At 39.7% G+C, this 23,240-nt stretch overlaps 1 protein-coding gene across 28 annotated transcripts in view, besides 5 other annotated features; it reads right to left on the bottom strand.

Annotated features, from left to right (window-relative positions):
• The window catches only part of SIDT1 (SID1 transmembrane family member 1), a 104,557-nt gene extending 84,035 nt beyond the window's left edge, over nt 1-20,522 (bottom strand). For all 28 annotated transcript variants that reach the window (NR_136280.2, NR_136282.2, NR_136283.2 and 25 more), the window contains exon 1: nt 19,834-20,522. Coding sequence is in view for 18 of the 28 variants with exons in the window: in XM_047448376.1 (XP_047304332.1) it covers nt 19,834-20,055 (222 nt within the window). In the remaining 10 variants the exon portion in view is untranslated. The remainder of the gene's footprint in view (nt 1-19,833) is intronic.
• Nucleotides 19,631-19,760: an enhancer, noted in NCBI's record as "active region_20260". NCBI's record gives its function as "activates an Ori minimal core promoter by ATAC-STARR-seq in GM12878 lymphoblastoid cells {active_cell/tissue: GM12878}" and the evidence as "EXISTENCE:reporter gene assay evidence [ECO:0000049][PMID:35858748]".
• Nucleotides 19,911-19,960: a silencer, noted in NCBI's record as "silent region_14606". NCBI's record gives its function as "represses an Ori minimal core promoter by ATAC-STARR-seq in GM12878 lymphoblastoid cells {active_cell/tissue: GM12878}" and the evidence as "EXISTENCE:reporter gene assay evidence [ECO:0000049][PMID:35858748]".
• Nucleotides 20,231-20,560: an enhancer, noted in NCBI's record as "active region_20259". NCBI's record gives its function as "activates an Ori minimal core promoter by ATAC-STARR-seq in GM12878 lymphoblastoid cells {active_cell/tissue: GM12878}" and the evidence as "EXISTENCE:reporter gene assay evidence [ECO:0000049][PMID:35858748]".
• Nucleotides 20,701-20,890: an enhancer, noted in NCBI's record as "active region_20258". NCBI's record gives its function as "activates an Ori minimal core promoter by ATAC-STARR-seq in GM12878 lymphoblastoid cells {active_cell/tissue: GM12878}" and the evidence as "EXISTENCE:reporter gene assay evidence [ECO:0000049][PMID:35858748]".
• Nucleotides 20,911-21,130: an enhancer, noted in NCBI's record as "active region_20257". NCBI's record gives its function as "activates an Ori minimal core promoter by ATAC-STARR-seq in GM12878 lymphoblastoid cells {active_cell/tissue: GM12878}" and the evidence as "EXISTENCE:reporter gene assay evidence [ECO:0000049][PMID:35858748]".

Below are 23,240 nucleotides of genomic sequence, written 5' to 3'. Positions count from 1 at the left end.
AATGGTTGAAGGTAGATGGCAGCAACACCCCAGCTTTTCCCCCTGTCACATCTTGGTTCCTGCCTATGTCTGGGCCCACGAAGTTGTTTCTAACAAACGCCCCAGCTTCAGCTCCCTCCATGAAGATGTTTGGTGGGGTTGGTTTTGGGGTTACTCAGCATCCAAAACCCTTGCATGTTCTGGAGGAACTACTCCTCCTCCAACCCACTGTGTGAATTTTGCGGGAAGCAAGGCTGCCCATGGATGTCAAAGGGGCCGGATACAGGACCTGTGCTTGGGTAGATGGATATGCCCATTTGGTACATTCAATTGTGAGTAAATGACACAAAAATGAAGGGAGAGTTTCAAGTTCACTGGCAGTGGTGATATCAATAGGGTCCACAGCAGCGGGGTCCAGGGGTGACCATATCTAGTGGCAGTGGAGGCAGTGGTGTGGGGGAAGAACCCCAAGCAAACCATTCCTGTGGCATGACTGCTGCTATAATTTCCTGCAGCGTAGTCTCCCTTGGTCCCGAAATGTTGTCTGAGCCCAGTAACTTACTTTTGTGAGCTACTGGATATCTTTTTAATGAATTCTTTTCCTGCTTATATTTGCCAGTTGCTTTCTGTTGTTTGTAGCTAAGACCCTTGCACGAACCTATGTCCTCTTTCCTTTTCTGTCCATGTCACTCACACCTCACAGCCATTTTAGAGTCTCCCTGTCTACAAACCTCCCCAAATCTTCATTGCACACCTAGATCTCACCACTGTTTGTCTCCCTCCTTATCCTCCAATGCTTATCCCTTTGTTAACCAGAGGAACATTGTCTGACTCTTAGAAAGCTATAATTCTTCCTCCCCGGTGAAGGTGATATGGAGAGAAAGGGAGCGCAAATACAGGATATTTTTTAGAAGGCAGGAGAAAAGAAGAAAATACAACTGTGGACACTCAAATGTTAACTTTTTGGCCCATAACATATGCTCCAGGTAGGCGTTTATTTAAGATAGGTGTGAGTCACGTTGTTCACAAAAGGGCAGTTAAATCTAGAGGGACAGAAACAGTCGGTTAGTCCTGTTTGTCATGGCTTATCTTCATGGTGGCTTAGTGGGGACCCAGAAATACCAGTTCTCAGGAATAACACTTCCCTGAAGTAACAGACAGGCCAACTGCTCGGGTCTCCAAGATGCCCTGTTCCTGACACAAAGAAGGAACCCAGCATTGATGAAAATAAAACACACACACTACACACACACACACACACACACACACACACCCCTAAAACTTTACCCCCGGGATCCACAGGGAGTCAGAGTAAGACCATGGTTCATGGGAGGCTGTGGCTCTTTGAAACACTAAAGAAAATTTGACAACTTTATAGTTTTACTTAGTATCAACCCAGCTTGCCTGGTACACAGACAAACAGATGGCTGGACAATTCGTTGGGGGAAAACGATAATAAAAAATCTTGTTTCAGTTTTCAGTAATTGTAAGGGAGTCAGACATAGTCTTAAATTGCATGATCAAAAGACACGACTGTGAAAATATGATATTTAAAAATTATTTTTGTTGTTGATAAGCATAGCTGATGTGCTCTCGTGGGCACATCTTGTGATTTAGTACAACTATCTTGAGGAAATACCCTTGGGAACTTGAGTTACATTCCTGGCTATGCTTCAAACTAGTACATGATTTTGGGCAAGTAATTTATATCACTTACTCTCAGTTTTCTTCTTTGTTAAGTGGGAAGAGATTGGGAGATTTAAAAGGTACTTTGAACCTCAAAACAGAAATACCATTCGAACCAGTAATCACATTACTGGGTATATGCCCAAAGGAATGTAAATCATTCTATTATAAAGACATCTGCATGCATATGTTCACTGCAGCACCATTCACAATAGCAAAGACATAGAATCAACCTAAATGTCAATCAATGATAGATTGGATAAAGAAAATGTGGTATATATGCACCATGGAATACTACACAGCCATAAAAGAGAATGAGATTATGTCCTTTGCAGGGACATGGATGGAGCTGGAGGCCATTATCCTTAGCAAACTAACACAGGAACAGAAAACCAAATACCGCATGTTCTCACTTATAAGTGGAATCTAAATGATGAGAACACATGGACACATAGAGGGGAGCAACACACATTGGGGCCTGCTGGAGGGTGGAGGGTGGGAGGAGAGAGAGGATCAGGAAAAATAACTAATGGGTACTAGTCTTAGTTGAGTGATAAAATAATCTGGGTGATGAAATAATCTGTACAACAAAGCCCCATGACACCTATACAACAAACCTGCACATATACCCCTGAACTTAAAATAAAAGTTTAAAAAGAAATAAAATAAAATTTCAAGAAAAAAACTTAAAAAAATTTTTTTAAAGGTCTTTTGAATTCTTAAAATATAGCTACCTCTTTCCTATGGTTCAAAGGATTTTTACATGTTTCTTTTAGCGATGGACAAAAAAACCCAGAAAAAAAGTCTCAAATGCAAGCCCAATTATATTTCTGTAGCTAAAGAGAATTGACAAAGATAAGTTCATTGACTTGGATAAAGGAAATGATGGCACATGACATCAATACAAATATATACTGACTGCCCAAGTAACATGTGTTCTTCATCTTCCGCCACTGGAAGACAGATTTCCACCACTGGAACTCTATAGAAAAACCTTGATAATTGGGAGATCAGCCCTCTAGCACCTGAGATTATTCGTTATGGCTCTGAATCAGAACGTAAAGAACAAAATTTACCTCTATTATAAGAAAATAGAATATGCTTGCCATTAGCAAAGCCTCAAACAATCACAGGATATTACCCAGAAAAGAGGGAGAATCTTGATGGGCTGACCATGTTCATAAGAAATTTGAAAGACAAAAAGGATAGGAGAAGCAGAGAGACACAGATACATAGGGAAAGGGAGTGGTAAGAGAATGGTAGAGTTTAGCAATGCTGGCAGCAGAAGTGAAGGTTGGGAATGGTGATAAGAACACTGAGCACCAGGTGTGGGGCTGCTTCCAAGTCTTTGCACCAAGGCAAAGTATAATTGTGAACATGTACACAATAGTGTAATGCTAAAAATATAGGGAGATATTTTCAACAAATGATGCTAGAACAACTGGACAGCATATGCAAAAAAATCCCTCCCATCTAGACAGAGACCTCATACCTTTCATAAAAATTAACTCATAATGGATTATGTCTAAATGTAAAATGGAAAACTACAAAACTTCCAAAAGATAGCGTAGGAGAAAAATTGAGGTGACTTTTGATTTGGTGACAGCTTTTTATATACATCACCAAAAGCATGATCCATGAAAAAAATTAATATGATTGTTTATTAAAATAAAAATATCTGATCTGTGTAAGATACTACTAAGAAAATGAAAAGGCAAGGCTCAGACAGGGAGAAAATATTTGCAAAATATTTATCTGATAAAGGACTGGTATCCAAAATCTACAAAGAACTCTTCTCAACAATAATGAATAAAACAACCAAATTTAAAAATAAACAGACATCTTACCAGAGAAGATATATAGATGGTAAACAAGCATATGAAAATATGATCAACAACATTGGGTTTTGCAATTAAAGGGAAATGCAAAGCAACAATCAGATGCCACTATACACTTATTAGAATGGCTAAAAGACAAAATTCTGGTAACACCAAATGCTGATGAGGTTGTGGAACAACAGGAACTCTCATTCATTGCTGGTGATAATTCAAAATGATACAGCTACTTTAGAAGAAAGACAGTTTGACACTTTCTTACAAAGCTAAACATAGTCTTACTATATACTCCAGCAATCATCCACCTAGGTATTTACCCAAATGAGTTGAAAACTTATGTCCACACAAAAACCCGCACACACATTTTATAGCAGCTTTATTCATAATTGCTCAAAATTGATAGCAACCAGATGTCCTTCAATAGAGGAATGGATAAACACACTGTGGTATATCCAGACAATGAAATATTACTCAGCATTAAAAAGAAATGAGGCATCAAGCCATAAAAAGACACGGAGGAACCTTAATGTTTTACATTTTGCTATGTAGAAGAAGCAAGTATGAAAAAGCTACAAGTTGTATGATTTCAACTTCTGCCTTCTTAGGGTCCTGGCTGGGCCTGAAAATTAAATTGGTCTAAGATAGATCAACAGGAGAAAACCATACAAAGTTAATATAGTTTTTTGTGACACGGACATCCTCATGAGGAAATGAAGACCCAAAGACACAGTTAGATTTGAATACTTATATATTGAATAAGACAAAGAGTAGTAAATTGTAAAAATGTGACAAGGCAAAGGGGCTTGGGCTAAGGTAGTTAATGGCAGGGAGAAGTGGCCAGGAAGATAAGGGTTAGTCTAATAACATTTGTACAGAGGACCTTCTTTCGCAACTTCCCACCCTTGATGATGAGAATCTTACTTTCCTTTTAATATAGAGAGTATCTTTCAAATGAATTACAGTTCCTGCTTTTAAGAAACAGAATGAAGGTCAGAGTGACCTTCTTGCATCTGTTGTTTTTCAAGTAGTTTTAACTCAAAATAGTCAATATGCCAGAGTAGCATATAGTGGAGTGGCATGTTCCGAACTCCTTCACAACTACGTGACATTCTGGAAAAGGCAAAACTAGAGAGACAGTAAAAATAAAACAAAACCAGTGGTTGCCAGGGGTTCAAGAGAAGAGAATAAAGGATGAATTAATGGAACACAGACTATTTTCAGAGGGTGAAACTATTCTGTACAGTACCATAATGGTGGATACACAACATTATGTATTTCTCAAAATCCACAGAACTGTGCAACACCAAGAGTGAACCCCAATGTAAAATACAGATTTAGTTAATAAAAAATACATATTGGTTCACTATTAGTGTACCACAATAATGCAAGTTGTTAATAATGAGGGAAATTTTATGGGGGTGGGGTGGAGAGAAGGTATCAATGAGGAAGCAAATTAAGTCAAAATACTTTAGAATCCTGGGTTAGGCAGAGAGAGGGCAAACTTGTATTTATGCTCTTGAAGGTCCAAGGTATCAACTCTAAGTACCCCAGACAACCAGGGAATGCTTTTACTCAGGACAACATATTACTTCATGATAAACTTTAATTTTGCCACCATTTTAAGAAATAAAGTATTTTATTCAAATGCTTAGAGTTTAACCAAAACATAGGTGATCCTCACCTTTAAATTAATCATACTTTACTATTAATAATTACGTATTAGCACCCCTGGCCAGTCTTGAGACCAACTGTAGAAGGCTAGGTCCAAAAGAAAGTTTCTTAAAATTATGATTTGAGAAATAGCTCCTAAAATGCTTTTCAGTGGTCCAAATAGGGAGAAAACTTCCTGGTTCTTGGGAGCTGTGACAGGAAAGTGAATTATAAATAGCTTTCTTATCAGGAAAGAAGGTGTATATTCAACTTTCTCTGGACACACTTTTCAATATAAGATACCTTTAAACCAACTTCACTCTTCTTGTTCAACTTGCTGAAAAATGCCCTATTCAATCTTGTACAAAAATCAGCATCTCCATGTCCTTCTTTCTAATGGCAAAATAAATTTCTTTGTTTATTATTGTCACAGCAAAAACAAAAAATGAGGGAACGAGAATTCAAAGTAAGGAATTATTTCAACAAATAATTTTTAATTTGTTTTATTATTAACAACATTTAATATATAACTTATATTTGCTGTATGACACTCAGCTTTAATTTTCCTTCTATGAGATCAACTTTTTTAGCCTCCACATATGAATAAGAACATTCCTCTACAGGAACAGAACACTCTTTTTAAAAAAGAAGTTTTTTGCTTTTATTATTATTTTTAATTGACATGTAAAAATTGCACGTATTTCTGGGGATAGTGTGATATTTTGATACATGTATGGAATGTGTAATGACCAAAACAGGGTAATTAGCATATCCATTGCCTCAAACATGTATCATATCTTTGTGTTGGGAACATTCAAAATCAGCTCTTCTAGCTCTCTGTGAAGTTGGTTTTTATGTGTGTGTGAAATAAAAAAGATTGATTATATCATCTGGCAGATCCATGATATGCTTGATATTTTCCTTTTCAAATAAGCAGAAAGCATAGTGAGGCCCCATTTCAAATAGCTCATTAGATGTGCTTTAGAATTATTAGTGCACCATCTTGGTGTGTTGACATGAAATTTCTGTTAGCTCCAAAGTTAAACGATGTAGGAAGAGCTGGTTAACATACTCTGGGGTACTGCATGGCAACATGTGGTAACATGAAAACTGTGTGGTTATTTCTATTTGAAAAGAAGAAAGAAATGCTGGTATCTTCCAGCAACAAAGACGTTTCAAGGTAACACAAGTATCTTCAAGACCAAGTCCACAGAGAGAAAGAAATGACATAGAAGATACTTTAAATAACAGTTGAAACCAAAAGTAAGAAACGAAGAAATTCTGAAAATTTCTATACATTGTATCAGATGCTTAAAATATCTCAGAAGGGACCATCACATCAGTAAAACAGTAAAACAAAATGACAACCAAAAAGCCAAACTCAACATGATAGCAATCTTATTGACATGGTACTCAGCAGGAATGCCAGCAAGGGAAAAAAGGGAACTGAAATATAAGTTCAGCACATGTGGCAGGAGTGGATGGAAACAAAATAAAATCACTTTCAAGAAGTGAAGAACCCTATGGGAATCTTCTAAAAAGGAAGAAAAAAAAAGTAGTTTTAAAGCAACAGTAAAATTTTCATTTGCTTCTTTTTATGAGACAAAGAGTTAGAAATGTTCTTTTTGGCAAGAAGCTTATTCTACTTGTCTATAGTTAAAAAAATTACAGTCTGACACATGGTGGAAAAATATCAGAACAATGACTCTTAATGCTTCAATAAAGGTTAAAAATGCAATCCTCTCATCTTATCAGTGGGGAAAATAAATCTCAGGGGGAAAACAGGATTTGCTGAAGGTCCTCAGGTAAAGGGATAAAAACACGTGTCTCCTGGTACTCCACCCCATGCTCTTCCCCAGTACTGCTCTGCCTCTTAGTTGTTTGTTTTCCTTGCCTACGTAAAAGTAAAATGTGTTTATTGTGAAATATTTGGAAAATACATAAAAGTTCAGAAGACAGCATTAAAATCTCCTGCAATCTTACTACCCAGAAATAATGCAAAGTTTATCATATTTCAGAAACCACTAATGAAAACTTATACTATAAAAAATGTCTTGAGAATTCAACAGTCCATGACTTGAGTAAAATTGTGGTCCTAAAATCAGGCACTCAGGAGTCCTTGCCTTAGGTATCACTGATATAATTTGTTTCACTATTCAGGCTTTCAGTTTCTCATGAAAAAGAAATTATGTACTTATCTCTTTAACTGCAAATTCAAAACTGAGAATTAGTAAACTTATTAAATGGTCTAGGGGTAGATCTGCATGTGATCCAACAGATAATCTGGATGATGGAACAGGCAAGATGACTGGATGACAACCGATCATGTCATCTTTCCTTGTGATTCCTTAAAAGCCACTGAAATATCATTTTGCTAGTGATGGGGAGAGGAGAGAGGAAACTTAATTTCTGTGTTAGAGTGAGAGAGAGATTCTTAATATATACCCACAATATAAAATACTTAGAATGGTAGGTTGTTTATAACAAGATTTTAATGTAAATGAAAGCAATAATTGGATCAAATAAGAATCTATATGCCCATGCTGATATAAATAAAAGAAATAAGTAAATAAATAAATGAGAGAAGAAAAATCTCTTTCTTACAGTAGAATATTAACTGATAAATGTAGAAAGAACAATGAATTTAAAGATCACTAGTTGGAAACCATCATAGTAATAACTAATTCAGGCAAGAATAATCAGTGGATGCTAAAACTAGTTGTTGAAAGTTTGGTGAAGCACAGGATATTTACGTAGTATCAAGTATTATTACTTCACGAATGACTTTTTTTTTTTTTTTTTTTTTTTTTTTAACAGAGTCTCTCGCTCTGTCGCCCGGGCTGGAGTGCAATGGCGCAATATCAGCTCACTGCAAACTCCGCCTCCTGGGTTCAAGCAGTTCTCCTGCCTCAGCCTCCTGAGTAGCTGGGATTACAGGTGCACGCCACCACGCCCAGCTAATGTTTGTATTTTTAGTAGAGACGGGGTTTTGCCATGTTGGTCAGGCTGGTCTCAAACTCCTCACCTCAGGTGGATCTGCCCACCTTGGCCTCCCAAAATGCTGGGACTACAGGCTTGAGCCGCCGCACCTGGCCCACAAATGACTTTTTAATTATAAAAGGGAAACAGTAAATTTACAGTGGAGAAATCTGGGAGAAACCATTTTAATTAAGTAACCAGGGTTAACCATACTAGTAATAGGGAAACACAATATCATGTGCCCCTGATACGACGCACTAAGGATGCAGTGCCAGTTCTGCGTGTTATGTCAAAAATGTATAGCCTGGATCTAATAATGAAGACACATCAGAGAAATCTGAATTGTGAGACATTCTCCAAACCTGGCTATACTCTTCAAAAATGTTGAACTCCTGAAAGACAAAGAAAGAACAAAGAAATGTTCCAGATTAAGATTAAAGTAAAGACTCATGATAACTGTCCTTGCGTGGTAGCTCACACCTGTAATCCCAGCACTTTGGGAGGCCGAGCTGGGTGGATCACAAGGTCAGGAGATCGAGACCATCCTGGCCAATATGGTGAAACCCCAGTCTCTACTAAAATACAAAAAATTAGCTGGGCGTGGTTGTGTGCGCCTGTAGTCCCAGCTACTTGGGAGGCTGAGGCAGGGGACTAGCTTGAACCTGGGAGATGCAGATTGCAGTGAGCCGAGATCATGCCACTGCACTCCATCCTGGCGACAGAGGGAGACTCCATTTAAACAAACAAACAAACAAACAAACAAACAAACAAACAAAAAGACTCATGATAATTAAATGCAATGTGTGTTCTTGGATTGGATCCTGGACCAAAAGGGGAAAATTAAAAAAACAAAACAAAACAAAACAAAAAACCTTTTTTCATTAAAAGACATTATTGGAAAATTGGTGAAATTTGACTAAGTTATATAAAATAGTAGCAGTTTATACAGGTTAATTTTGTGATTTGGATAACTGTTCAATGGCTATATAAGAAAAAGCCCTTATTCAAAAGAAATATACACTGAAGTACTTAGGGACAAAAGAAAGAGCAGCATGTCTGCAACTTACTCTCAATTGTTTCAGGAAAAAATAATTTGCTTATAGGGAGAATGAATAATAAAGCAAATTGGACAAAATGTTAATGATTGGGAAACATGAGAGAAGGGCATATTGGTGTTCTTTATACTGTTCTTACTTTCTTGTAAGTTTGAAGTTATTTCAAAATTTAAAGTTACAGAAAAAGAAGCAATAAATAGAGAATTCTGTGAAGATAGTGTCAATAGCAGCATAGATTTTTTAATCTTTCTGAATATCCCCTGTGAAAACAGAGCAACTGGGATACAGAACCAACATTCTGGGGAAAACATCTAAAAAAAACCCCCAAGTTGACGAGGTATCCCCACTAACCCCGAAACATGAGTGGGTGGGAGCAAGTTATCAACAGCTTCAGCACCTCCATAGTAGTGGCAATTGTGTGGGTAGAAGCAGACGAAAGGCATGGAGCTCTGATGGCTCTGAGGATCAGAGAACCCCAAAATCCTTCAAAAAGTGCTCAGTGAGAAGACTGCAGGGCCAATCTGAGAACGGCAATTAAAACTGAGGAGGGTTTTGTAGGCTCCAATTTTTGGGTAAGTGTAAGGATGCTTCAGGAAGTACAGAACATTCTGGAACAGTGTTGGCCTCATGAATTCTCAAAACTAACTAATTGGGCTGGGCGTGGTGGCTCACACCTGTAATCTCAGCATTTTGGGAGGCTGAGGCAGATGGATCACCTGAGTTCAGGAGTTGGAGACCAACCTGGCCAAAATGGTGAAACCCTGTCTCTCCTAAAAATACAAAAATTAGCTGGGCATGGTGGTGCATGCCTGTAGTTCCAGCTATTTGGGAGGCAGAGGCAGGAGAATCGCTTGAACCTGGGAGGTCGAGTTGCAGTGAGCCAAGATCGCGCCACTGCACTCCAGCCTGGGTGACAGAGTGAGACTCCATCTGAAAAACAAACAAACAAACAAACACACACACACACACACACACACACACACACACACAACCAAGCAAAAACTAATTAAAAGTCTCTTCCTAGAAAAAGCCCTGCCTGAGGAAAAACTATGGGAGTGCAATCCAAATTGAGAAGGATGGAGAATATAGGGGCAAAAGGAAGAGAAAATCTCCATAAAATGAAAGAAGGAAGCTATGGAAGCAGATCTCAGAAAGAAAATCATGTTTTGATCACTTCACAAACACAACAGAAGAATGCTAGGAAAGCTACCCAGATCTTCCCTTCCCTTCTAAAGGTAAGAAATACTAATCTAATGTAAACACTTGAGCAATAGATAAGGATTGCAGTTATGTTCCATACAAAGTCACTGTAAGTAAAAAAAGTAAGAAGCAGAAAACATTATTTCAAATGGTGAACAAGTCATGTCTATAAAACATTAAGAATATAATAAATATCGTGATAATGTCTTAAGGAAAATAGAAGATGAAAAGGAAAAAACTTTAAATTCAGACAGCATATTTAAAAAGATATAAAGTAATTCTGGAAAAATAGTTATAGAAAACCCCAAAGAAGGGCCAACATAAGTAAAAAGAGAATCCCTAAATAAGATAATCAGGTATTGGAACAAACTAATACTAAAAACTCTAAGAAAAATTTTCAGACATAAAAAATTACTGAAGCTACATATTCAAAAGTTACATCACATACCTGGGAAAAACTGACCTACTAATGCCAAGTGTGGTGGCTTACACCTGTAATCCCAAGACTGTGGGAGTCTGAGGCAGGTGGATCTCCTGAGGTCAGGAGTTTGAGAACAGCCTGGCCCACATGGTGAAAACCCGTCTGTACTAAAATACAAAAATTAGCTGGGCGTGGTGGCACGCACCTGTAATCCCAGCTACTGGGGAGGCTGAGGCAGGTGAATTGCTTGAACCTGGGAGGCAGAGGTTGCAGTGAGTCAAGATCGTGCCATTGCACTCCAACCTGGGTGACAGAACAAGACTCCATCTAAAAAAAAAAAAAAAAAGAAAGAAAAAGAAAAATTGACCTACTAGATAAAGTCTGGTAAAACTACTGGATTTTAAAGAAAAAAGTCTTTCAGGAATCCAGGTAGTAAAGTTACTTATAAGGGAAGGAAAAAAATTTTATTTTCACTTTTGCCAGAAGACAAAGGAGTAACATATTGAAAAAGCAGAGAAAAAAAATGTGAGACAAGGATTTTATATCCAGCTAAACAGACCTTCAAGTACAAAGGCTACATATAGGCTGTTATAAACATGAAAGTGAGAATATGGTTCTCGTGAGTCCTCCCTGAAGTCTCAGATTGGTGCAAAAGTAATTGTGGGTTTTTCTATTACTTTTAATTGTAAAAACTGCAATTACTTTTGCACCAACCCAATATTCCCTGGAGAATAAAATTTAGACAATCGAAATGATTGGATGACATTAACATAAGGACTAGAACTTTAAATATATATGTACTGGCCGGGCCCGGAGGCTGACGCCTGTAATCTCAGCACTTTGGAAGACCGAGGTGGGCGGATCACTTGTGCTCAGGAGTTCAAGACCAGCCTGGGCAACATGGTAAGACCCCTTCTCTACTAAAAATACAAAAACTAGCTGGGTGTGGTGGCAGGTGCCTGTAATCCCAGCTACTCATGAGGCTGAAGCAGGGGAATTTCTTGAACCCGGGAGGCAGAGGTTGCAGTGAGCAGAGATCATACCATTGCACTCCAGCCTGGGTGACAGAGAGAAATGTCATCAGGCAAGACTCCATCTCAAAATATGTGTGTGTGTGTGTGTGTGTGTATGTGTGTGTATATATATATATATATATATATTAGAACTAAGACTGACAGTTGGTTAGAAGGAAGACAATATAGCTCGTAATGGCTATATACTCTAACAATGCAAATACAACTTACCAAAAATGGAGGATGAATGGAGAGAATATCTGATAGAATAAGTTCATTACTTTCTTTAAGGGTATTAACTAGTTATTTAGATTTTGTCTAAATTAGTCATCTTATTGAAGAAAGAGAGGGTGAAGGTATCAGCTAATTTCAATATTGCTTATCACTGAGGATGAATAGACAATAGACAAAAATAGGGGAGACTAAGGGCATTATAAAATGTATTAGTACAAAGGAAACCATTAGAACAAAGACAAAAACTTTGTTTAAAAAAACAATTTATTTTATACCTTATAAATTTTTTAATGGTTACTTGTAGAGGAAGAGAGGGAAGGGGGTACAGAAGACAAGGACAGAAGCTATGCTTTGAATATCCCATGTTTTGCAGATTTTTGTTTTTAATTTTCAAACAAAATTAAGATGCAATATCTAAAATTCAGAAGTAAAATGAAACAATGAGCCTAACAAGTTGACAGCACTAACAGGGTCTATGCAATGTTACCTTAAAGCACAGTAATTTCACTCAACACCCATGATGAAATATAATCTAAGAAAACAAACTGTATAAATAAATCTTAAATTGTTTCCAGTCATCTTATTGTTGGTAGTAATGTTAGTATTGTTTTCTAAAATGGTTGTGTGTTTCTTTGGGGATAAAGCAAATGAGTAATTGCTGTAGTTGGATGTTTGTCCCCCAAGACTCATGCTGAAATTTGATCCCCAATGTTGAAGGTGGGGACCTAATGAGAGGTGTGGAGTCATGAGGGTAGATCCTTCATGAATATGTTGGTGCCACCTGTTTCCTCGTGGTAATGAGTAAGTTATCACTTTATTAGTTCCAATGAGAGTTGGTTGTTCAAAAGAGCCTGGCACCTCCCCTCTGTCTCTCGCTTTCTCTCTCACCATGTGATCTCTGTGCAGGTTGGCTCCCCTTCACCTTCTGCCGTGAGTGGAAGCAGCCTATGGCTTTCTCCAAGTGGCCATCTTTCAGCCAGCACAATACTTTTCAGCCAGCACTTTTTTTTTTTTTTTTTTGAGACGGAGTTTCACTGTTGTTGTCCAGGCTGGAGTGCAGTGGCGTGATCTCGGCTCACTGCAGCCTCCGCCTCCCAGGTTCAAGTGAGTCTCCTGCCTCAGCCTCCTGAATAGCTGGGATTACAGGCATGGGCCACCACATCCGGCTACTTTTTTGTATTTTTAGTAGAGATGGGGTTTCGCCATTTTGGCCAGGCTGGTCTCGAACTCATGACCTCAGGTGATCCACCCACCTTGGCCTCCCCAAATAACCTTTTTATTCCTTATAAATTACCCAACCTCAAAGGAATACAAACACACTAAGATAGTAACTAAGTTGATCTAGTTGAGAACTAGGATTTTTGGCATGAATGAAAGAAGATGTGGATGTGATATCTTCCATTAAGGATGAGGTTAAATAAAAACCGTATATTTCTGAATTTGAATTGGAAGTCATAGTATAAACTTATGATCTATTTCTTAGCATGTCCACTGAAAAGGCTTAGAAAATGTTACCAATCCATTCTTAATAAGGACCCCTAGTTCCCAGACTGTGGTCTCTAAAAACTCTATTGCTCCAAGGAATAGACTTGGACCTTCCTGCAGAAATGACTGGTTGCAGGTTGGGGAAAGGAATAACTTCATTCAAGAAAGCAAGGAAGCTGTCAAAGAGCACTTGAGTTTTACCAGAAGAATTCAGGAGCCAACTTGAATTGCCTTTCACTGGCCAAAGATGAACAATTTAAACTTAAATAAGGATAATAACTGTAATGGAATAAAATATATCAGATATGTTTAAATGCATAAGCTCATGATTATGCTAAGTAAAATCTCATTGATCATCATTATAGGCTATTAGGAGACCAACTCATTATTTTAAAAATTGGTAAAGGTAAAGAAATAAAGCATTTATTTCATTTTTTCTTTACAAACGATAGCTTAAGGTAACCAAATAGCCCACAAGGTGAAGTTTCCCGTTATAGAAGTATTCCAGCTCATAAAATGAAAAATAAATAAGAGAATTAAAATATCATTATCTTGCTGCTCCTAATGAATTCATGGAACTAGGCAATGATGATCAATGGTGGCTACCATAAAAAAAAGACACAATCAGAAATTATGTGCTTTCTGGAAGAAATATACCATACCACCTTTGACGTAGTCTTGCCAAAACATAAATTGGATATATTTTTCCGTATCTGAAATGCCTTTCCCCTTTCTTTCTGCCGACCAAAATACTGCTTACCTATCATAACCTTCTCAAATCTCATTTCCTCCAACAAAGCTATGTGGAGGAGGTATGTTCTCTCTTAAATCTTACAGTACTTGGAGAACTGCTGTTCAATAAAAACAAAATGTGAGCCACATGTGTGTTTGAAAATTTTCTGGTAACTACATTAAAATGGTAAAGAGAAACAGATATAGTTAATTTTATGACTATAGTTAATTTAATACATCAAAAGTATTATCACTTAAACACAACATACAAATACTAACGACACATTTTCTATTATTTTTGTTGTATGGTCTTCAATATCCGGTATGTATTCTATGTTTAACAGCACATTTCCATTCAGACTAGTCACATTTCAAGTTCTCAATAGCCACTGGACAGCACAGGCTTACAGAATCCATCACACAACTTACCACCTGATTATCAAGTCTGCGTAGGCAGAAGGCAGCTCCTCCATAACATCAGACCCATAACTGGAGTAATGTTATCTCCTAAACAACCCATGACACACACTGATGCCCTGTTTTCACAGTCTCTGAGAAAAATGTAGGAGGTGATTGCTACGGATTGAATGTTTGTGTCCCCACCAAAATTCACATGTTGAAACTTAATCCCCAATAGGATGGATTTGAAAATAGGGCCTTTGGAAAGTAATTGGGTCACAGGAGTGTTCATGGAGGGATTGCTGCCCTTATAAGAAGACGCATGAGGCCAGGCACAGTGGCTCATGCCTGTAATTCCAGCACTTTGGGAGGCTGAGGTGGGTGGATCACGTGAGGCCAGGAGTTTGAGACCAGCCTAGCCAACATGGAGTAACCCTGTATCTCCTAAAAATATAAAAATGAACCAGGCTTGATAGTGGATGCCTGTAATCCCAGCTACTAGCAAGGCTGAGGCACTAGAATCACTTGAACCTGGGAGGCAGAGGTTGCAATGAGCCGAGATCGTGCCACTGCACTCCAGCCTGGGTGACACAGCGAGACTATGTCTCGAAAAGAAAAAAGAAGAAGAGGACACGTGAAAGACTATTCTTCTCTCTTTGCTCTCTTGGCCACGTGAGGACACAGCAAGAAGGAGCTTGTCTACAAACCAGGAAGCAGGGCCTCACCAGACATGAGATTAGCCAATGGTGGTCGGTTATATCCGCCAAGGTGGACTGAGACAGTCCAATCATTCAGATAATGTGCTAATGAGATGAGTCTTTCCTCCAACAAGCACTAGTGCAGTTCAGCAAAAGGATGTGGGAGGACAGCAGAGGAGGCTTCTTGGCCTCAGTACATAAAGAGTAAGCATTCCTATATGAGACATGGAGAACTCAGGCCATCATATCAAAGTTTTAAATTCTTCCATATAATTAGTAATGCATATAGCTAGAGGTTACCACTGGAGTGTCCACATGGGCATTTCATTGTTCTTAAGGACTGGGTAGGCTTTTTGAATCTGGATCCAAGAGACTGGTTTAACTGGTTCTAGGTATACAACTACTGGTTTATATTAATGAAGATGAGGGTTGTTCCTTGGGCATGGAAAAGTATAATATATGTCATTAAAAGATAAATGCCTTAGTTAATAAATGAGATAAAAGAAATACTTCCAGGGAGATATTTCAAATTAAAAAATCTATGGCAAACTAAATTCTTACAGGAAAACCTCAGAGAAGACAGCCTGTTGCCCAGTGGTTAGATTTTATTTAAGGGTTTCTTATCACCATCTAGCTCAAATAGAAACATCTGATTGTTGCTGCCAACTGTCTCTACAAGAGTATTCTCATTTCCCAGTAAACCTGCATTTGTGCCTTCTGTCCCAGTCAAACATATCCCTGGCAACTTTCCCAACAAGTTAGTTTCCTTCTAGCCTGGCTGAGCCCTGTGGTTATAGAACACCCTGTTTGCACAGTATAGCCCTCCTCCTCTTAAAGAGAGTCTCCAGACACTTCCTTCCAGAGAAATGAAATGAATCATGATCTTGCCTAACTTGCACCTCCAATTATTATTTTCATCATTCTTATTTGAAGCAGTCATTCCATTCTCTCAGTGATTTTTTTGAAGGCAACTTCATATTTACATTACCCTATGCCTGGAAGGCATATGAGACTTTTCCTGGTGCTGAGTGCAGCTAACTAGTATGACACAAGCTTGGCAAAATAGTTCTCTGGGACAGTTTGGTATGGGAGATGCAGTGGCTGACAGGAAAGATTAGGAGCAATGGCTCCCACAACAGCTTCCTGTCTTTAAGCCTAAACTTAGAATAGACTTTCTCCTCCAAGGCACAGGAAAAATAATGTCAAGCAACAATGGCTTGAAGAAAGAGGAAAACAAAGATTAAAGCTCAAAAACTAGCCATTTTTTTCCCTAAACCAAATTCTTTGTTGCACTGAAGAGGGGAGGTGGGCAATGACCCTGCAGGCTAGAAAGACTTACCTTATCAAGACTTTGTTCAGGTTAAAGGGAAACCAGTCATGTCCAAGCTTCTGCTCTAAAGATCGTAGGTCTGGGGTCATACATCTCTATTTAACAGAGCCTCTTAGTGAGTGTAGGATAAGCAATGATGGCAAAAATTGCACAACATGGGAGAGTAACAAAAATTTAGTGGGTGGGGGTCAGCATTTGAGGAGGTATGAGGGGATGGCCAAGAAGATAGTGACAAACCAGCGCCTGAAAGAGAGCGTCGCTATCTTGAAATCCCCCTGGTGGTAAATTGTCGGAACAGTATGGCCTAGGTTTCTGATTTAATCTATCACCTATCTTGTGCTGTGATGTCATTCCTCTATGTTATTCCAAACCTTCAGTAAAATTCTGCTACATCCAACAGCCTTGTGTACCTGCAAGAAGGGGCTGCTGATATCTTATGCAGGATAAGAAGAACTAAGAAGAGAGTAGGAACCGAAGGTAATGGTTTGGACAGACAGATCAAGAAAATGTCTTCTCTGGAGAAAGCAACAGGAATACTGGCTGGTAGGACAGGAGGTTAATTTCCCACAATAAGTGGCTTTTGAGGGCTCCACTACAGCATTTGCATATTAAAGATTGGTCCCAGAAGGCTGTAAGATTTGAGGACATTTGGCTTATATTGAGAATACTGGCACTAAAATAATTGAAATTCTTGTTATCTCCTGTTCCCATGGTTCCCAACTTTGTATTTCTCAGACTAGTAATATTTTAACAAAAATTCTAGGGACTGCTTGGGTCATCAACCTTTTACTGTGTCATTCAAAAATATTTTCAAAACTGTTTCATAAAATAAAGGACATGTTAACACACACAGACAAAATAGGGCATAATAGAACAATTTTTAAAATGTGTTTTTATAAAAACCAAATTTGTTTTATGAAAGAAATTTGTTTTTATGTTTTTATCTGAAATGATCTCACATTTTCCAAACTATTGAATTGAAAACAGTATACATTTCATTTTATTTAGCCTTAGCTAATAACCCTTTATTCACTTATTTGTTCATTTTTGGAAAACACTAAATGTTTTTTATAAGCCTCTCTTTTCTTTAAAAAAAAAAACATTTTGAAAAAACAGGGTATCACTCTGTCCCCAGTGGGAGTACAGTGGCAAGAGCTCAGCTCACTGCAGCCTCAAATTCCTGGGCTCAAGTGATCCTCCTGCCTCCGCCTCCTAAGTAGCTGGGACTACAGGCGCATGTGCCATCACACCCAGCTAATTTTTTAATTTTTTGTAGAGAGAGGGTCTCATTATGTTTTCCAGGCTGGTCTTGAACTCCTGGTCTCAAGCAATCCTCCCACTTTGTCCTCCAGAGTGCTGGGATTACAGGTGTGAGCCATCATGCCTGGCTTATAAACCTCTTATGTGCCATTCACTGTGCTAGGTACTGGAGGGCAGAGATGAACATGACTTTGCCCCTGCCCTCAATATCTCAAGGTTTACTAGGGAAGTCAACCAGGTGATCTCAAGTGCAAAACTCACACAGTACAAGGGGAAAATGTAAAGGCAACAATTCATAAGTAGATGCTCTATCTCTATGCAGAACTGCAAGAAATACCAAAGCCTGATGTCAGGATTTACTTAGCACATGTAATTTGAGTTTTCTTACCAATGATTTAGGGGGAAGCTGAGACTTACTCCAGAGATCATGGAGTTTTCAGACTTTTTTCTGCTCCCAGCCAATCACAGGACTAGGAACACACCTCACGTGCAACATGTCAACCAGTCGATGAGTTCTCCCACGCTAGATAGAAAGAGGCTGGGTATATGGCGTTTGGGAAACAAAAACTGCAGCCTCTCCCTTGTCTACCATGAAATGGCTCTGCATACAGCCACTCTGCTCACTACAGAACATATAACCTGAAGGTTACTGGAGGACAGAGCAGGGTGAGGGCTGTGCTGCCATGGTAACAGTGCCATAGGATTTGGTGCCACACTGGAGATGGGGCACTCAGGGCACTTTCTGGCTACACACAGCTGGAAGATGTCTAGGAGCAGTGTTAGGCACATTGGTCCCCCCTGCTCAATACAAACCACCCTCACTTTGGGAAGTGATGAGGTTTTCTAGTTCCGATCTGGAGTGAGAATCAGACGGAGGCATATCATGGTATCCCAATCATCTAGTTCTGGAATTTCCCTAGAGGGTAGGGGATGCTGGTATAGTAAGGGATACATAAACACATTTATATGGGAAGAAGATCCAGAGGTTGGTACACTGGGGAGTCTCTGTCTCTGTCTCTGTCTCTCTTTCTCTCTTTCTCTCTCTGTCTCCCTCTCTCTCCCCGCCCAGTGCTCCAGAGGTACCACACTAGAGGAAAGAAATGAACTATATGCATCTTCTTACGTTATATAATCGGAGTATATATGTCAAAGGGATAGTCACTGGAACATTTTTCCCTCCTTATCTTCCCTCAACTTTTGTCAAAAATAGGTCTAGAACTTTCACACAATTATCCATCCTTATTTAAAATCAAAACCTGGATTGATCAGCTGATGGCTGCAGTTCTCACGTCTTTGCCCAGGTCTTCTGGCGTCTCTGAAGCACAACGTGTGACAATGGCACAAAAACGCAGGAAGTGACTGTTGAATGCACAGAGGTTCTGCAGCTTCCGTCCATTTTCACACAATTTCCATTTTAGATTCTGAGCAGTTCTCCCTCCCCATGCGCTATGAAATAGAAGGGTCTGGCTGAATCAGCCACTTGAAATTAGGTTTCTTCCCTGCAGGGGATTAGGAACCGAGGTGCGGTTCTTCTTCGCACTCCACACCACACCCCGCAACCCTAGAAATCAGGACTTTCCTGGAGAAAGACCCAGCAGGGACCCAGGACCCGCAGACGGTGCGGGGAACTGGTGCCTCTGCAAAGCCCAGCAATGCCCTTGACCAGGCCAGGAGAGGCGCGAGGCGAAGCAGAGTTGTCCCCGAGGCGTGTTGAGGCAGCTAGGGCAGGGCAGCGATTGCTTCGGAGGAGAAAGGGAAAGAAAGTCCCCTGGTCCCCGAAGTCTCCCAAGGTCAATTCCCAGGGGACTCCAAAGCAGCGACGGGGCTCTGAGATCTGGCAAGTTCTAGGAGTCGAGCGAGGGGAGCGAGTGTCTTACCTGGTCGGGCTGGCTGGTGTAGTTGAAAGAGTAGATGTTCTCGGTGCTGAGGTTCACCACCCCGCTGTAGACATGATCGAAATCGGCGCCCCTGGCAGCGTCGAAGGGGTCGCGGCGCGGTGCCGGGGGCTGCCTGGGGGATTTCGCCGGGTGCCCGGGCGACGCCGCCAGCAGGAGCCAGGGCAGCGCGCAGAGCAGCGCGAGCCGCAGGCAGCCGCGCATGGTGGGCACCGCGCCCGGGCTCGAAAGCGGAGCCACCCTGGGGAGGGGGCGAGCGCAGAGAGGGTCCTTCCAAAGCCCGGTGCAGGGCCAGGCGTCCGCTTCAGAGCCGAGCGGGTGATGCCTGGCGAACCCAGCCGGCCAGGGCTGGCAGCGTGCTGACGAAGGGCCGATCAAATACTGATGCTGCCGCCTGGGGTCTCCACTGGAGGTCACGGGTGGAGAGTAGGGCGGACTGGAGAAGTGGAGATGTGGGGCTGCTGATTTTCCTCCGGCTTCTAAGTCCCCCGTTTCTCATCGCCGAGAATCCCCCCACTTACCCAGCCAGAATTTAGACCGATCTCTTCTCCCTCAACCTCAATAACAGCAATAATAAAAAGGCATTGGAGTCATTAAAAAGAAATACCCGCTAGTCTCGAAAAGTCAACCTGACGCCACATCGAGGAGGAAATTCGGTCTGTTTCAAATACGTGTGCACCCTGGCTGCAGGAGAAGAAATAGAAAGCAAAAGAGCCCGTCCCCCAAGAGGGTGCGCGAGTTCGCTTTCCCAGGCTGCTACCTGCAGAGAACTCTTGCCTGTCTGAACGATAATTACTCTCTATTCTCCCCTCTCTAATAGAACCTCTCCTCAGACACCTGTTTTATTTCTTTATTACCTCCTACTCTCCATGGAGAGTCTCACGTCATCACGTTCTCTCCCTCACCATATGTGTATGTATGTAAATATGTACAGTTAAAAAAAAAAAGATATGGTAAAGAGAACAATTTCCAGCACTGCCTGAAGTCTGGTCCCGGAAGTTGTCAAAAAACGACTCAGACTAACTAGATTTATGCAGAAGGCATTTCTTTCCACCCCAGCCTCTTACCTACTTTACCATTGCAATGACTTCTTCCAGATTCTGAGAGAAACCCCAGGATTGTTTTTTTAAAGGCAGAAACCACAGCCTATCGTAAAAAGGAAATACTTTTCTGATAAAAATTAGGGGATTAGATTTAAAGAGTTAAAGAGGCAGGTAAGGAGCAGGGTGAGAATGGGGCCATCAGAAGACCTTGCAGAACATTGAACAATCACAATTTACGTGTGGAAGAGAACTCACTGTTTTATTTCAGCTTCATTACTGTATACTATAAAAGAATGTAATTGTGTTCAACCTGAAGGACCATTTAAAAAGAAGTCATTAAGAAGGAAAAGATCTTTTTCAAAAATTTAAGATTACAGATTAAAATCCTAGTCCTTGCCATCTTTAAAGAGATAGATTTGTTTTTGTTTTTACCTTGTCTAATTCCTTTAATTTCTTAAAACATCAAGAATGAATGCAATACATTTGTTGTAAAGTTTTCTGTGAAATCAGAAAACAATGCTGATGGAAGATTAAGTTAGTAGACTCCTTATTAGGACAATTTTCAGTTTTAAAGTTTTGAATGTTCTTGGCCAGGTGCAGTGGCTCATGCCTGTAATCCCAGCACTTTGGGAGGCTGAAGTGGGAGGTGGGCTAGCTTGAGGCCATGTGTTCATGACAAGTCTGGGCAACATGATGAAACCCCATCTCTACAAAAAATACAAAAATAGCTGGGCGTGGTGGTGCATGCCTGTCGTCCTAGCTACTTGGGAGTTGAGTTGGGAGGACTGCTTGAGTCCGGGAGGTCGAGGCTGCAATGAGCCGTGAACACCCCACTGCACCCCAGCTTGGATGACAGAGCAGGACCCTATCTCAAAAGGAAGAAAGGAAGGAAGGAAGAAGGAAGGAAGAAAGGAAGGAAGGAAGGAAGGAAGGAAAGAAAGAAATTTCTTGAAAATATATGGGTATATGGGCAAAAATACTAATTCAAAGGAGAGTCTGGGGGTAAAACTTCAAATAGAACTCACTGTTTTTGAGGAGCATAACGAAATAATTTCATCCAGAATTTGAATGACTTTAAACTGTTGTATTCAAAATATCTGTGCCTCTTTTCAAAGTTCAACAACATTTCATAAACTTGAAATCTACGAAGGTCCTGGAGGTTAGCTGGTGTGACCAGTTAAAGGAGTCTCTAGGATTATGGAGTTCTATTATGGCGTTCTTTTTAAACACTATAAGAGATGAGGAACTGGTTCTTTCACAAGTCAACACCTTCTTTTGGGGGCAAGTGTCTCATTATTAGAAAGACATTTCATATTCTTAGTTGAAATCTGCCTGTCTTCTACTCACTTGTACTAGTTCTGCCCTCTGGAGTCATAGGAATAAACCTAATACTTCTTCCACATGACAGACCTGTGGGTATTTAAATGGTGCTATGACCCTTCCTTCAAGATTTTATCTCAACTTTACGCAACTAAATTGGAAGCAAATGGAACAGATCCTTCATCATAGCATGAAACCCAAAATATTTATTTTAAAGCCATTTGTATGGATTATCTATACCTAACAATTTGAGTTATATATTACAAGTCACTCTGTAATATTATCTAATCCTTATTCTAGCCAAAAGTCATTCAGTGACCTCAAGTAATTAACCTCTCAGGATCACAAGGTTGTTGTAAGGATAAAAGGGAGAATGATGTATTTGAAAGTACATTAAAAAGTTTAAAGTGTTGAATGAACAAATACTGTTATGGTGTGACTGCTAGTTCAATAGCTAAAAAATAAAATGTGGTCCATTAGGTAGGTGGTTTTTTTCTTTATTTTTAAAAGGAATTTTATTTTAAATTTTTGTGGGTACTTAGTAGGTGTATATATGTATGGAGTATATGAGATATTTTGATACAGGCATGCAATGCATAATAATCACATCATGGAAAACGAGATATCCATCACCTCAAGCATTTATCCATAATGTTACAAACAACCCAATTATACTCTTTTAGTGATTTTTAAATTTACAATTAAATTATTATTGACTATAGCCTGTTGTGCAATCAAATACTACACCTTATTCATTCCATTTTTTGGTATCCATTATCCATCCCCACCTTCCTCCCCCAGCTCTCCCACTACCCTTCCCAGCCTCTGGTAACCATCCTTCTACTCTCTTTCTCCATGAGTTCAATTGTTTTGATTTTAAAGGCAGTTTTTTTTTTTTAATATCTACAATGTCAGGATTCTACTGTGAGAGACTAAATATGCAAGTGGGCAATGGCCAGACCATAAATAGCAATACAACTAACTCTGACCCACAGTTTCTGCAGCAATCAGCTCAGGAAACAAAAA

This window comes from Homo sapiens, chromosome 3 (assembly GCF_000001405.40).
Source record: "Homo sapiens chromosome 3, GRCh38.p14 Primary Assembly".
Classification (NCBI taxonomy): domain Eukaryota; kingdom Metazoa; phylum Chordata; class Mammalia; order Primates; family Hominidae; genus Homo; species Homo sapiens.
The sequence above is the reverse complement of the archived record's forward strand: the minus strand, read 5'-3'. Positions and strand labels throughout refer to the sequence as shown.